This window comes from Homo sapiens, chromosome 2 (genome assembly GCF_000001405.40).
Source record: "Homo sapiens chromosome 2, GRCh38.p14 Primary Assembly".
Classification (NCBI taxonomy): domain Eukaryota; kingdom Metazoa; phylum Chordata; class Mammalia; order Primates; family Hominidae; genus Homo; species Homo sapiens.
The window spans coordinates 231,219,474-231,234,301 of record NC_000002.12 but is presented as its reverse complement, the minus strand read 5'-3'; the positions used below and the strand labels follow the sequence as shown (position 1 = coordinate 231,234,301).

The window sequence follows — 14,828 nt, the reverse complement described above, 5'->3', positions numbered from 1 at the left end:
ACTGAAGCCAAGCCACCCTGGTCTCGGCAGGAATAGGCAAATCCTCATCGGTGTTGGCACTTCTTTGCCCATACCACCTTCCCTCTTTCTTGAAAGTCACACTTTGGACGAAAGGAGGTAACAGTGCCCCCAAACCCAGAGTAACTCACTATTGTCCTGATCCAAGTACTGTACAATATTTGAAGTCTTCATTGTAGAACAGGTTTCAAGGATATGGAGAGATATTTTAAAATTATAAAGACCTGGGCTCAAATCCCTACTCTATTACCTTTTTGCTGGGTAACCACAGATAAAATATTTAACTCTGTAATTCTCATTTCCTAACCTATAAAATGGAGACAATAATTGCTTTGATGGGTTATTGTGAAGATTAAATTTAAAAAAAGACACTCAACATGCCTAGCACAATGGCTGACCTAGAGAAGGTTATATAGTGGTGGCTATTACTACTATTTCATTTCATGGAAAGGGGTGAAAGACTTTGTAAATACATTTCTATATAAGTGGATAACTTTTTTTTTTTTTGAGATGGAGTTTTGCTCTTGTTGCCCAGGCTGGAGTGCAATGGCGTGATCTCGGCTCACTGCAACCTCCGCCTCCCGGGTTCAAGCGATTCCCCTGACTCAGCTTCCCGAGTAGCTGGGATTACAGGCATGTGCCACCATGCCCGGCTAATTTTGTATTTTTAGTACAGACGGGGTTTCTTCATGTTGGTCAGGCTGGTCTTGAACTCCCGACCTCAGGTGATCCACCTGCCTCGGCCCCCCAAAGTGCTGGGATTACAGGTGTGAGCCACCGCACCCGGCCACAAGTAGATAACTTTTAAAAGTGGCAGAAAGGTTCCATCCTAAAGCAGTGGCATGCAAGCTCTGAAATACATCAGAATCACCCACAAATAAAGATGATCAGGCCTCACTCCCAGAGATTCTGATTTTATAGACACTGAGTGGGGTCTGAATGTCTATATAGTCAACAAACTCCTCAAATGGATCTGGTGCACACCACAGGTTTGAGATAACCTAAGTTAACCATTCTTCCTAATTTGTGTTCTAAAAACCTACATTCAAATTGTATTTCAAAAACCTTCATGTTTGATTACTGTTTATATACAGAAGTAAAATATTTTTACTATTAAAACCCAAAATATCTTCAGCTGGGTGCGGTGGCTCACGCCTGTAATCCCAGCACTTTGGGAGGCTAAGGCGGGTGGATCACCTGAGACCAGGAGTTCGAGACCAGCCTGGCCAACATGGTGAAACCCCGTCTCTACTAAAAATACAAAAACTAGCCAGGCGTGGAGGCACGCACCTGTAGTCCCAGCTACTCAGTAGGCTGAGGCAGGAGAATCGCTTGAACCCAGGAGGTGGAGGTTACAGTGAGCTGAGATCACGCCACTGCACTCCAGCCTGGGTGACAGAGTGAGACTCTGTCTCAAAAATAAATAAATAAATAATTAAAAACCCAAAATATCAATGATAATGAATTATTATTATTATTCAACATCCACAAATCTCAGTTTTGAAAGATAACTTTAAAAAGTCACCTGGCAAAGGCCGGGCGCAGTGGCTCATACCTGTAATCCCAACACTTTGGGAGGCCAAGGCAGGTGGATCACCTGAGGTCAGCAGTTCAAGACCAGTCTGGCCAACATGGTGAAACTCCATCTCCACTAAAAATATAAAATTAGCCAGGTGTGGTGGTGCATGCTTGTAATCCCAGCTACTTGGGAGGCTGACACAGGAGAATCGCTTGAACCTGGGAGGTGGAGGTTGCAGTGAGCTGAGATCATGCCATTGTACTCCAGCCAGGGCAACAAGAGCGAAACTCCGTCTCAAAAAAAAAAAAAGTCACCTGGCATGAATTTACATCCAGTACTTGACTCCCCTGAGAATGGCCCTGAAAATCATTTATCAAGATTCTCCTTAAACATTAGGGAAAGGGGGTCACTACCTTCTGCCTCTTAGAATGTGATAAATTTGGCCAGGTGCAGTGGCTCACTCCTGTAATCCCAGCACTTTGGGAGGCCGAGGCGGGTGGATCACGAGGTCAAGAGATCAAGACCACCCTGGCCAACATAGTGAAACCCCATCTCTACAAAAAATACAAAAATTAGCCGGGCGTGGTGGCGCACACCTGTAGTCCCAGCTACTCAGGAGGCTGAGGCAGCAGAATCGCTTGAACCAGGGAGGTGGAGGTTGTAGTGAGCCGAGATTGCACCACTGCACTCCAGCCTGGTGACAGAGCAAGACTCCGTCTCAAAAAAAAAAAAAAAAAAAGGAATGTGTTAAATTCGTGCTATTATTACAGTTTTTCAGCCGGGAACAGTGGCTCACGCCTGTAATCCCAGCATTTTGGGAGGCCAAGGCAGGCAGATCACCTGAGGTCGGGAGTTCGACACAAGCCTGGCCAACACGGGGAAACCCCGTCTCTACTAAACATACAAAAATTAGCAGGGCATGGTGGCGCACTCTTGTAATCCCAGCTACTTGGGAGGCTGAGGCAGGACAATTGCTTGAACCCGGGAGCAGGAGGTTGCAGTGAGCCAAGATCACGCCACTGCACTCCATGCTGGGCGACAAAGCCAGACTTCATCTCAAAAAAAAAAAATTTTTTTTTCAGGTGGGGCATGGTGGCTCACATCTATAATCCCAGCACTTTGGGAAGCCAAGGCGATTGAATTGCTTGAAGCCAGGAGTTCGAGACCAGCCTGGCCAACGTGGTGAAATCCCGTCTCTACTAAAAGTACAAAAATTAGCTGGGCATGGTGGCATGCGCCTGTAATCCCAGCTACTCAGGTGGCCGAGGCACTAGAATCGCATGAACCCAGGAGGCAGAGGTTGCAGTGAGCCAAGATCATGCCACGGCACTCCAGCCTGGGCAACAGCGCTGTCTCAAAAAAATAAATGAATACAAATAAAGTTTTTCATATATATATAGAGAGTTCAAAATTAGATAAGTTAAAACTTTCAAAGATGAAAATTCTACAGAATACTATTCATAATCCCATATTGCAGTCGTAAGTATTGGAGAACATCTATGCAAACTTTCTCAACACGGACCAAGTGGTACATGATGAATCAAGTACCAAAACCCATTAGCTAGGCTCAATGACCTCCCAAGTCACCAATGTGAATGTCCCCAAAGCAGTCCCTCCGGACTGCACAAAGGAACCCTTCCCCCCGGAAGTTCATTCTGCAATTTACTAAACATAAGAGATTATCTGTGGAACTTTTGCCTTGGGAACCCAGAATCAGAATTTATGACAATTTCAAAGTGTGGCACATCTCCGGGATAAAAGGCCTAACTGCCTGCAGCCTATTGGAAAGAGAGAAGCAGGCAATAGGGCTGAAATGTTTGTGACCATTTTCAAATACAGTCAGCACTCCATATCCATGGGTACTGCACCTGTGGATTCAACCACCTCAGGTTGAAAATATTCGGGAAAAGAAGCACCTGTACTGAACACATACAGACTTTTTTTCATATCATTTTCATGTCGTAAACAAAATGGTATAACAACAGTATACACACCATTTACACTGTATTAGGTATAGGTAATCCAGAGATGACTTAATGTATATGGGAAGATGTGTGTAGGTTGTATGCAAACACCATGCCATTTTACATAAAGGACTTGAGCATCTGTTGATTTTAGTTATCTGTGGGGGTCCTGGAAGCAATCCTTGTAGATACTGAGGGACAACTGTATACTCCTTAGGAGGAGAGGCTGCTACCCAGAGACATCACCTTGCAGATACCTTAACTAGCTACAAACAAGACCTGTCCATGACTAGAAGCTACGTGGGTGATAGCTCAAACACATCAGCTTTATTTCAGAGCATTAAACAGGACTTTCTATTTTCCCTGTCAAAAGTTTTATGAGACAAGAACAACTAAACCAAGATGCCTTGCCATGCAAGACCTCAATTTCCTCTTCTTTTTTTTTTTGAGACGGAGTCTGGCTTTGCCACCTAGACTAGTGCAGTGGTGCGATCATAGCTCGCTGCAACTCCTGGGCTCAAACCATCCTTCCATCTCAGCCTCCTGAGTAGCTGGGACTTCAGATGTACGTCGCCACGCTCGGTTAATTTTTTTTAGTTTTTATAGCAATAGGGTCTCACTATGTTGGCCAGGCTGGTCACAAACTCCTGGCCTCAAGCTATCCTCCCACTTCAGCCTCCCACAGTGCTGGGATTACGGGCATGAGCCACCACGCCTAGTGACAAGACCTCAACTTTTAATGGAGATGTCTTATTATAACCTCCATGTTATTTTAATAAAACCATCTTAGTCATGCCAGTGAAATTTATTGAGACTCTTCATATCCAAAATTACTGACATAACAGTGATGTAAATCTCTCCCCCGCCACTCAAGCTTTCTTTTTTAACTTTTCTACTTCACTTAGGGCACTGTACTTTTTTTTAAAGGGTAAATGAGATTTTAATTGGCTGCTCAAGACAAAATGATCAACTTTTAAATATGGAATTGTTTTTCTCACCCACTATGAAAAGCTAAAATTAACCTCTCTGTCTTTATAATGATATACTCTTTCCTGTTTGTATTCAGATAAAAATTACCTCCTTGCTACTTTGCTAATCCACAGATACTGGATGAAGAAAGTTATAATGTAACTTATGAATATGAGTCATTACTTTTTAAAATACTGTTTAGGGCTCCAAACTCCAGAAAAATGATCAACTGCTCATTCTGAAAGGGTTGAATCAATTCATGCTAGAAATGCCAAAAGATACTATTTCTATATCCTTTTTAAGTGACTAGGTGAAAATAATAATCCGATGTTACTACATTGTCAACCTGTTTTTATTCCACACAGCATTTCAAACGTAATTCCTTCTGAGAGAAGTTTCTGCTGCAAGTGCCTTTCCTGTCTTCTTTAAAAGCTTCTGGTAATCTCACTTAACCGTGAAAACTTCCTATCAAGATACACAGAACAATGATATCATGCAACCACTTCACTTAAAACAATGCCTGAGTCTAGAATTAAATTAAACTGGGGGCATGTCTGTGCCTTTGGTTATTACAGCCTTAGCTGCAGGATGAGGGGACAAGGGGGTGACAAATGACTGTCATGCCTGGGCCCAAAATGCGAATCTCCAATCTCCATAGCAACACCACATTACAGAGTTCACTCCGCCACAGATGCACTTTGCTTGCCAGACTCAAATCCACAGCCATTCTGCTTGGCTTCCAGAAAACTCAGTTAAAATTGACCCTAAAGAAGGCTTAAAAACTGGTCTCCTTACTGAAATTCCAACATTAAAAACCTGTAGAGAAAGACAATTCTTTTATTTGCATTCCCCTTCCCATGTTTATTTGATCTGCAAAACTGGGCCACTTATCAGATTTACATAATGCTCCCAGAAGAAAGCTATGCTCAAAAATGCAGTGTATGCTAGGGGGACATGAGCTGCAGAAACTCAGGAACCAGAGAGAGAAGTTTCTCACCACCTTCCTGCCCCCATTGCCTGGGGGTCCAAAGGCTAGTTCAGAACAGCGACCTGGCAGATTCAACTAACAACTAAGGCAGTTCTCTAGGGTCCAGAGATGCAGGGTATGGTGGTGGTTTTAAAATGCCTGTAGTCTTTGACACACCCTCCTTCCCATCAAGAAGAGGAATGTAATTTCCTTTCTCTGAAGGTGAGGGGGCCTTAGGAATTCACTTGCAAGAAACAGAATGCAGCAGAAATGACTGACTGACTTCAGAGGCTAGGTTAGAAAAAGTGATACAGCTTCCTCCTGGCTCTCTCTGGGGACATTCACCCTTGGAAACCAGGCAACATGCCTGGAGGAAGCCCAGACCACAAGGCCACGCAGGTGTTCTCGTCAAGGGCCTCTGCTGAGACCCCACGTGACAGCCAGCACCGACCACCACTCTGCGTGTGAGTGCCTTGGAGTTGGCCCCAGGCCGCTCCGCCTGACTGCACCTGAGAGACACGCTGAGGGAGAACAGCTTAACTGAGCCCACAGCTCCCAGACCATGCAGGCTCATCATCACCATTATAAGTGAATGTCATTGTTTTGTGCCACCAAGTCGGGATGGTCTGTCAGGCAGCAATGGAACAGTGGGCTGAGGTGTATTTCCAGGAGCTGCAGGGCAAGATCCAAAGTCCCAGTCCAGTTGAAGATGCCAGCTGTGTTGGATGTGAGCAAACTGGCCCGGGACGCACCGTGGCCAGGCCTGGGCCTAGGCTAGCACTGAGAGAGCGGGCCTGCAGAGCTGAGGATGCAGGCTGGGAGTCTTCCTCCACATACTGTACTGGGGGTAGGGCAACCTTGGGGAGCTCCAAGACTCAGGGTGCTCCTGCGACCCTTGGAGCAGTCCAGGTTGATCCCATGGGGCCGTATCTGTAGCCCTGCTCCTCCATGAAGGGCCAGCAGGGCCTGTCCCCTCTGAGCGACAGAAGGGTCAGCATGGCTGGCAGAACCAGTCACACACTTAGAACAGCTGAGCTGGGGATGCTTGAGGCTACCAAGAGCAAAACCAAGCATCCGAAGCCTTCTCAAAGGCTGACGCTGCCAAAGCCATCTTGAGTGACAAACCCAAACCCAAGCTCTCCCTGAGGTTGACAAACCCCATTGCTTATCTGCCAACTCCCTGGTGAGCAAACAGCTAAATAATTTACTAATTAATGCTTCCTTTCTTTAAAAGAGTTTCACTCCCTAAAAAGAAACAGGAAAAAGCAATGGCAGGGAGTTCTGAAATCCTCTCTGGCATGACTCTGCTTTGAAAGGGCAAATGTGCTGGCGCATGGAACAAGATCTCCTGTAGTCACACTCCACCTACTGGGAACTGAGGGTTATGCCATCAATACTCACCAGAGGGATGACATGCATCACAGGCCCTTTCCAGCATCATCATTTAAGCAGCTGTCAAAACGTAGTATCAAAGGCAAAACTGAGGTACAGCGCCCCAACTGGGGCCACCAACTTCATATTAACTACACTTTTTCTCACCTTACTCAAAAGTGAACAGTTCTGGTAAAAACAATTGACCATGGAAAAATAACACTTCATGCTACAAACTGAAGACTGGAATTCCTACTTGGGAATGGAAAATGCTTGATAAGAATGGGTACTCCATATGTCTTCGAAGACCCCAGTTGACTAGTTCAAGGTAAAAGTTAAATATTAAAATAATTAAAATAAATTAAATTAAAAGAACTCTATCCTTACCCATGCTGCCCTACACCTTCTAGGGAAAATGTGCTGCTGCTGCAGTTACCTCCCTTTGGGATGTTATTGGATTCTCTTCATTTCTCCAAGGCTTAGCTACCTGACATGCAAGACGAAGCTAACAATACCAGCCCTCCCGAAAATGGGCCTCAAGGAACTGCAGGTCACTATGACTGCAAAGCCTTTCATAAATATTTAGACTCTTAAAGCCAAAATCATGAATTCTCTCCATCTTTGCACCGATCTTACTACTTCAAACCTGAACTGGCAAAGTTGTTCTTAGACAAATTTAAATCTAGATGATTTACCTTTGTTACTTTGTCCATTCTCCTTCTGGGATGAAAAAGAAGTTCAGGAAAACAGGCATTCAGGGAACGGTACTTGGGGTATCGGACATCCTGTGGCCAATGTGAGAAAGCACCTCAGCATGATGAAACAGAATTCTCGGAGCCGGGAGGGCCAGCTCCAACTGTTGCTGTAAATAGCTAAGCAACTTCTCCATACTGGCCTGACCCACTCCCATTTCAGAAGAAGGCAAGTCCTCTTCTCCCCATTTCAATTATCACTGTCTGAATTCAAGTCTTGCACTATTTCAACAGCCTCCTATCCCCTTCCTATCCCCTTCCAAAGGCCTTCCCCACTGCTACCAAGCCAACTAAAAATGCAAATCTGATTTTATACATAATTCAACTCTAACTTCAATTCAAAGCTTTATCCTAAGGAAATTGATATTGAGGTGAAAACAGCATAGCACAGTATTGCTAAGACCACAGACTCTGGAGCCAGACTGCCTGGGTTCAAATCTCAGTTCCCACACGTCTGGCTGCATGACTGAAGACAGTTACTTAACATGTTTCTTTTCCCTTAATTTGTCTTAAACTTTTCCTTAGTATTTTGGTAATAGCTTTATTCACGTACTGTATAATTCACCTATTTAAAGTGTACCTTTCAGGCCAGTGTGGTGGCTCACGCCTGTAATCCCAGCAATTTGGGAGGCTGAGGCGGGTGGATTACCTGAGATCAGGAGTTTGAGACCAGCCTGGCCAACATGGCAAAACCCTGTCTCTGCTAAAAATGCAAAAATCAGCCAGGTTTGGTAGTGGGTGCCTGTAATCCCAGTTACTTGGGAGGCTGAGGCAGGAGAATCGCTTGAACCTGGGAGGCGGAGGTTGCAGTGAGCCAAGATCACGCCATTTCACTCCAGCATGGGTGACAAGAGCAAAATTCTGACTCAATCAATCAATCAATCATCAATCAATGTGTACATTTCAATGGTTTTCAGTATTTTCAGAGTTATGCAACCATCACTACAATCAATTTTAGAACATTTTCATCATCCTCCAAAAGAAACCCTGTATTCACTGGCAGTTACTCCCATTTTCCCTGCTCTCCCCAGCCCCTGGCAACCACTAATATACTTTCTGTCTCTCCAGATTTGCCTCTTTTGGACATTTTATGAATAGAGTCATATAATACCTGGTCCCTGCCACTGGCTTCTTTCAGTTAGCATAATGCTTTCAAGGATCATTCATGTTACAGCATGAATCAGTGCTTCATTCCTTTTTATGGCTGGATGATATCAAACGATATTCCATCATTTGGATAACACCACAGTTTGTTTATCCATTCATAAGATGATAGACATTTGAGTTGTTTGCATTTTTTTGGCTATTATGAATAATGTTACTATGAACATTTGTGTACAGGTTGTTTTGTGGACATATGTATGTTTCATTTCTCTTGGGTATATAGCTAGGGTATATAGCTCTTGGGTGTACAGCCTGGACCAATTCCTGGGTCATGTGGTAACTCTACGTTTAAACCTCTGAGGGAACTTAACCTGCTTTTGAAGGCTATTTAATGATATGGGAAGATGTTCTCTTCCTTTGATAAAAATGCATAGAAATATACACACACATACATGTACCTACCTTTATTACAATTTGGGTGTATGTCTGTATTAAAAACCTTTCTGTACTTTCCAAATTTTCTATAAGGAATATAGTTGATTTTATAATCAGGAAGTAAAAAGTTATTTTTTGCAAATACAACTGTTATTCTCTTACTTAAAATGCTTCAAAGGCTCCTTATTCCTTATAGGACTTGGCATAAACCTTTATGACCTAGGCCCTGCCTAGTCTCTGAGTTTGTCTATGCCAATACTCTGCTCCAGTAATATTAAATTATTTCAGTTTCCCAGGCACTGTCTCAGTGCCTTTGCACAGGCTGTTCCCTCTACCTGTAATTCCCATCCCTCCTCTGTTTGCCTCACAGACTCCTATTTTATTGTTCAAAGCTCCAGTTTGGCTAAGAGAATTACATCTTGGCCTTTTCTTTATATCCCTAAATCCTAGAACAATATTTGACTCATAGTAGAAGCTTAATGTATTGAACTGAACTACAAGTATTTTCATGTAACAAGGAAAATATTAGAATGTTATTTATAGTTACCTGCTATATTTCAGCATATGCTTCAAAGCATGTGGAACAGGATGAAAGGTGACAAGTACTTAAAAATTCTAATGCCAACAGCTAACAGTTATCAAGCACTTACTATATACTGGACTGTTTCATACAAGTTATATGTATTAACTCAATCTTCATACTCTTCCTATAAAATAGGTACTATGATCTTTTTTTATTCTTATTTTTTTGAGACAGGGTCTCACTATGTTGCCCAGGCTGAAGTTCAATGGCAGAATACACAGCTCAATGCAGCCTCAACTTCCTGGGCTCAGGTGATTCGCCCACCTGTCTCCCCCAGATAGCTGGGACTATAGTCATATGGATGCTACCATGCTCAGCTAACTTTTTGTACTTTTTGCAGAGATGGGGTTTCGCCATGTTGCCCACTCTGGGCTCAAACTCCTGGGCTCAAGTGATCCTCCCGCCTTAGCCTCCCAAAGTGCTGGGATTACAGGCGTGAGCCACGGGGCCCAGTCAGGTACTGTTTTGAGTATACTAATATATTTTTAATATAACTAATATAATTTACCATGTAAATCATTTTGATTAGATTCTTAACATATTGGCACCCATAATTATTAAGCTGAGCTACTCTGGGCACACTGCCTATGGGGTAGCCCTGTTCCACAAGGAGCAGTATCAAGAAAAAAAAAAATTAAGCTGAGAAATGCTTTTTTAAAGCGTATTCAAATAATTATAAGTCAAGTTGGAAAAGTTCTAGTTTCACTGAAAATCACTGTATATGGAACTCTAGGAAGGAAAAGGTTTGGATATGCAAACATCGTGGTATGTAGGCAAACAGAAGAATTTAAACAAAAGCCTTAAGGATATAAAGGCAGAGACGAGAGCTGTAGATCAGTCCGTTCGGCTCAGGCCAGGCTAAGGAATTTGAATACAGGCAACAGGGAAGGCTTAGGAAGCTCAAGTAGAAATGTGGCATGGAGTCCTAGTGACAAATAAAACCTCAATTAGGTCAAGAAAGTCAAATGCTTTGGAGTTAGAAAGGAAGCAGAAGGTATTACGCAGCAAAGTAGCCTAAATTTTTCATGAAATTAAACTAAACAGTGACCAATTTTACCATTCAAAACATTATGTTCTTGTTATGAAATAACTTTGGATACATTTTTATTCCAAGTAAAAGGAGATACTTGTCTTTAAAAACTAATAACCTTTGGGAAATTAGTCTTCCATGGGTTGGGTGACCTAACGTTCTGCTCTTTCTGAAACAGGCTCTATTTACACCTGTCACCCTGGTACTTTGTCCAGTTAGTGCCCCTTTTTACTTTCAAAAGTGTCCCAGTTTGAACTGGACTGTGGTGATACTGCACAGCTCTGTACGTTTGCCAAAAAGCATTAAATTGTACACTTACCATGGGTAGATTTTATGGTATGTAAATTTACACCTCAATAAAGTTATTTAAAAAGAAGTCCCAATTTGAATGACAAGTTAGATGGTCACCCGATCCATATGCCATGGCCTGAAGGGCTTAAAAGTGGTTAAGTGACATTCTGCAAAGGGACAATTATCCCAAGGAATTCTTTTACAAGAAGGTAAACTTTCTTTTCTACCAAGACAACTTCTAGCCACGTGACATCAAAATAAGACCTTGCCAAAAAGAAAGTCTCAGAGATCCAATGATATAGAAGTTGATCTCTATAGGCCCTGCCATTAATGATTCATTGACCTTGTAAATATGAAAGCAACACTATTAATTATCCCGATTTAATGAGGCAACCTCAATAAACCTAAGCCAGCGTGCAACTCTAAATAAAATCTGCTCTAAAACCATAGGTGGTCTCTATTTGCTTCAAAAGGATACATATATTGTTAAAAGCTTTGGCGTGTTGCTGGCTTTAGATATTAAAGCTAGAAACTTTATCAACTTCAACTTTAACTCTGGAGTCCAGGAATCCTAAAGAAAAAAGGGAACAAAAATACAAACATTAGATTACTAAGTACCAATAGCATCATCAAGTTGAGGTCATTAGGCTAAAAAACCCTGCACAGTGATTGAAACCAAAACCAAAATGCCAGTGACGTGAGGCTGTGAAAAACAGGTCTTAGGACATCTGACCAACTCATTTACAGAAGATTCAAGTGCCCACAGTAGGAAGAAAAAATAGAGTTCTTTCATAAACAGGGAAAAAATAACCCTGAACATGATTTGAGTATTTCATGTGATTTAAACACAGTCGTGACAAGGAACCTTATTAGGCTGCATACCAAAAATAGTTCAGTACAGTCTAGGCACGCACAGCACTGGGAGGCGTAACATAAACAATTATCACTAAGTTACTGAGAGTCTCCCCAAGAAAGGGACTCATTTCCACAAACCTCGTCTAGATAAGAAAAAAGGACAGAAGCTATTTTCTGCCACAAATACCCCACCATGTCAAGAATTATGATATAGTCTTAGCATGATTTGTCCTTTAAAAACAAATTATTTATCTCAAATAATGCTCATCAAGAAGAAAAAATTAATGACTTAAATAAGAAAAAACATAACAAGTAACAATCTTTGTCTCAGGACAATTTTCCTTATACTCTTTATACAGAAATATCTTCCACCCAAACCAAGAAGTTCCACAAAAATGCAGCGAAGCCACTAAAAATTCATACCCACCATCCTCTTAGATGCTGCCCCATGGCCCTCAGACCTTTCCATCCTTCCCCACTGTCTCTGCCTCTCCAGCTCTGTACCCTCCTCCATGCCTCCCACCCCCACCCAATCATTCTAGCCAGCATGTCATCTGATTTCTAGAAAAAATACTGCCAGATGAGCAGAAAGTTCTTTTTTTTTTTTTTTTTTGAGACAGAGTCTTGCTTTGTCACCCAGGCTGGAGTGCAGTGGCTCGATCTATGCTCACTACAACCACCGCCTCCCAGGTTCAAGCAACTCTCCTGCCTCAGCCTCTTGAGTAGCTGGGTCGAGGGTCACCAAGCCTGGCTAATTTTTGTATTTTTTTTTTTTTTGGTAGAGACGGGGTTTCACCATGTTGGCCAGGCTGGTCTCGAACTCCTGACCTCAAGTGATCTACCTGCCTTGGCCTTCCAAAGTGCTGGGATTACAGGCATGAGCCACCATGCCCGACCAGAGAGTTCTTATATTTTTAAAAAATTGTGTAATTCCCTGATACTGCATGATAACTTTGTTTATAAGGTGTGTGTTATTATGGATTGAACTGTGTTCCCTCAAAATACATGCTGAAGTCCTAACCCCTGGTACCTCAGAACATGAGGTCATTGGGAATGGGGTCGTTGCAGATGTAATTAAAGTTAAGATAAGGTCACACTGGAGTAGGGTGTGTCCTTAATCCAATATGACCTTAATCCAATATGTCCTTACAAGAAGAAGAAAATTTAGACACAGACACAGAAGGAAGACGGCCATGGGACAATGGAGACAGAGACTGGAATGATGCTGCCACAGTCACAGAACACCCGTGGCTACAAGAAGCTGGGAGGGGAAAGGAAGGATCCTCCCCTAGGATTCAGGGACAGCATAGCCCTGCCAACACCTTGATTTCAGATTTGCAGCCTCCAGAACTGTAAGACAACGAATGCCTGCTGTCTTAAGGCATCTGGCCTGTGGTACTTTGCTAGGGCAGCCCTAGGGAAATCACCCAGGTGCTACAACTCAAGGTGGTCTACGCTCAACCACACAGAGAAGAATCTCAGGAAAGGACTGCTATGTCTCAAAAAACAAACAAAACAAAATGCTTGGGACATACAGACTTCCAGTTAGATTGCTCTGTTGTTGATTACTATTTTGTATTACCAACAAATATGTGTTTTCAATGTAATTACTTACTTTATGATGCTCTGCTAATGACAGGGATGAGACTGAAATAAAGCCTCTTTGGACATGAGTCACCTATTTTTTTCTTGACCATTCTTATTTTTTCTGTGCTTTCAACTCTGAGAATAAGAACATTTCCAAGCTGGGCGTGGTGGGTCGATTTGTTAAATGAACAGGAGGTCAGAGACAGGAGGAAAATTAGAGCTAGGAAGCCAAGGAATTTTTTTTTTTTTTTTTTTTTTTTGAGATGGAGTCTCGCTCTGTTGCCCAAACTGGAGCGCAGTGGTGTGATCTCGACTTGCTCCAACCTCCGCCTCCCGGGTTCAAGAGATTTTCCTGCCTCAGCCTCCGGAGTAGCTGGGATTACAGGCATTAGCCACCATGCCCAGCTAATTTTTGTATTTTTAGTAGAGACAGGGTTTCACCATGTTGGCCAGGCTGGTCTGGAACTCCTGACCTCAGGTGATCCGCCCACCTTGGCCTCCCAAAGTGCTAGGATTAGAGCTGTAAGCCACTGCACCTGGCCTAAAGTTTTAATGTGTTAAAGAAATAAAAGACAGGAAGGAATGAGAGACTATAAAAATGTCCCAGCAATTTCAATAAACAACAAAAAAATAAACTTCTGAAAAAAAAAGAGTTAACTGAAATTACAAATTCAATGAAAAGGTTAAAGAACAGACTAAACATAGCTGGAGGGTGAGTTTGTGAACTGGAAGGCAGATGTGAAGAGATCACCCAGAATACAGCCAGAGAGATTAAGAGAAGGAAACATAAGATGTTAAAAGGTATGGCGAGCACAATGATTTGCACGTTCTTAGCACTACTCAGCTGAACCCTCAGAAATGGTCAAAATGGTGGTGGCGCACGCCTATAGTCTAGCTACTCGGGAGGCTGAAGTGGGAAGATCACTTGAGCCCAGGAGGTCAAGGCTGTAGTGAGCTATAATCATGCACTCCAGCCTGGGGGATAGAGTGAGACCCCATCTCTTTAATACTAAAAAGAAAAGTCAAAATGGTAAATTTTATGTTATGTGTATTTTACAATTTTTTTAATGAAAAAAAAAGACATGGAGAATATAATAGGTCTAATATACATTTAGTCAGATATCTAGGAGATAATAAAGAGAATGATACTATACAAAGAGATACTAATTGAGAATTTTTCAGAGTTGTTGAAAGACACAAAACTTCACATCCAGGAAACCCAACAAATCTCAAGTAAAAATAGAAATCTATCCCTAGAAACACTGTAGGGAAATGATACAAACCCAGAGGCCAGATAAAAGAGATTGATCACCTTCAAAGGAACGGCAATTAGACTGACAGCCAACTTCAAAATAGCAGCAATGCGAGCTAGGAAATGATGCA

General features: G+C 42.4%; 1 protein-coding gene across 10 annotated transcripts in view, besides 2 other annotated features; it reads right to left on the bottom strand.

Moving 5' to 3' along the window:
• Window positions 1-14,828, bottom strand: part of ARMC9 (armadillo repeat containing 9) — a 178,218-nt gene that overhangs the window by 142,547 nt on the left and 20,843 nt on the right. For all 10 annotated transcript variants that reach the window (NR_148040.2, NM_001271466.4, NM_001352754.2 and 7 more), the window contains exons 6-7: window positions 11,482-11,574; window positions 7,504-7,528 (exon numbers count right to left, since the gene is read on the bottom strand). Coding sequence is in view for 9 of the 10 variants with exons in the window: in NM_001271466.4 (NP_001258395.2) it covers window positions 7,504-7,528; window positions 11,482-11,574 (118 nt within the window). In the remaining variant the exon portion in view is untranslated. The remainder of the gene's footprint in view (window positions 1-7,503; window positions 7,529-11,481; window positions 11,575-14,828) is intronic.
• Window positions 5,849-5,918: an enhancer, noted in NCBI's record as "active region_17279". NCBI's record gives its function as "activates an Ori minimal core promoter by ATAC-STARR-seq in GM12878 lymphoblastoid cells {active_cell/tissue: GM12878}" and the evidence as "EXISTENCE:reporter gene assay evidence [ECO:0000049][PMID:35858748]".
• Window positions 11,563-11,862: an enhancer, noted in NCBI's record as "active region_17278". NCBI's record gives its function as "activates an Ori minimal core promoter by ATAC-STARR-seq in GM12878 lymphoblastoid cells {active_cell/tissue: GM12878}" and the evidence as "EXISTENCE:reporter gene assay evidence [ECO:0000049][PMID:35858748]".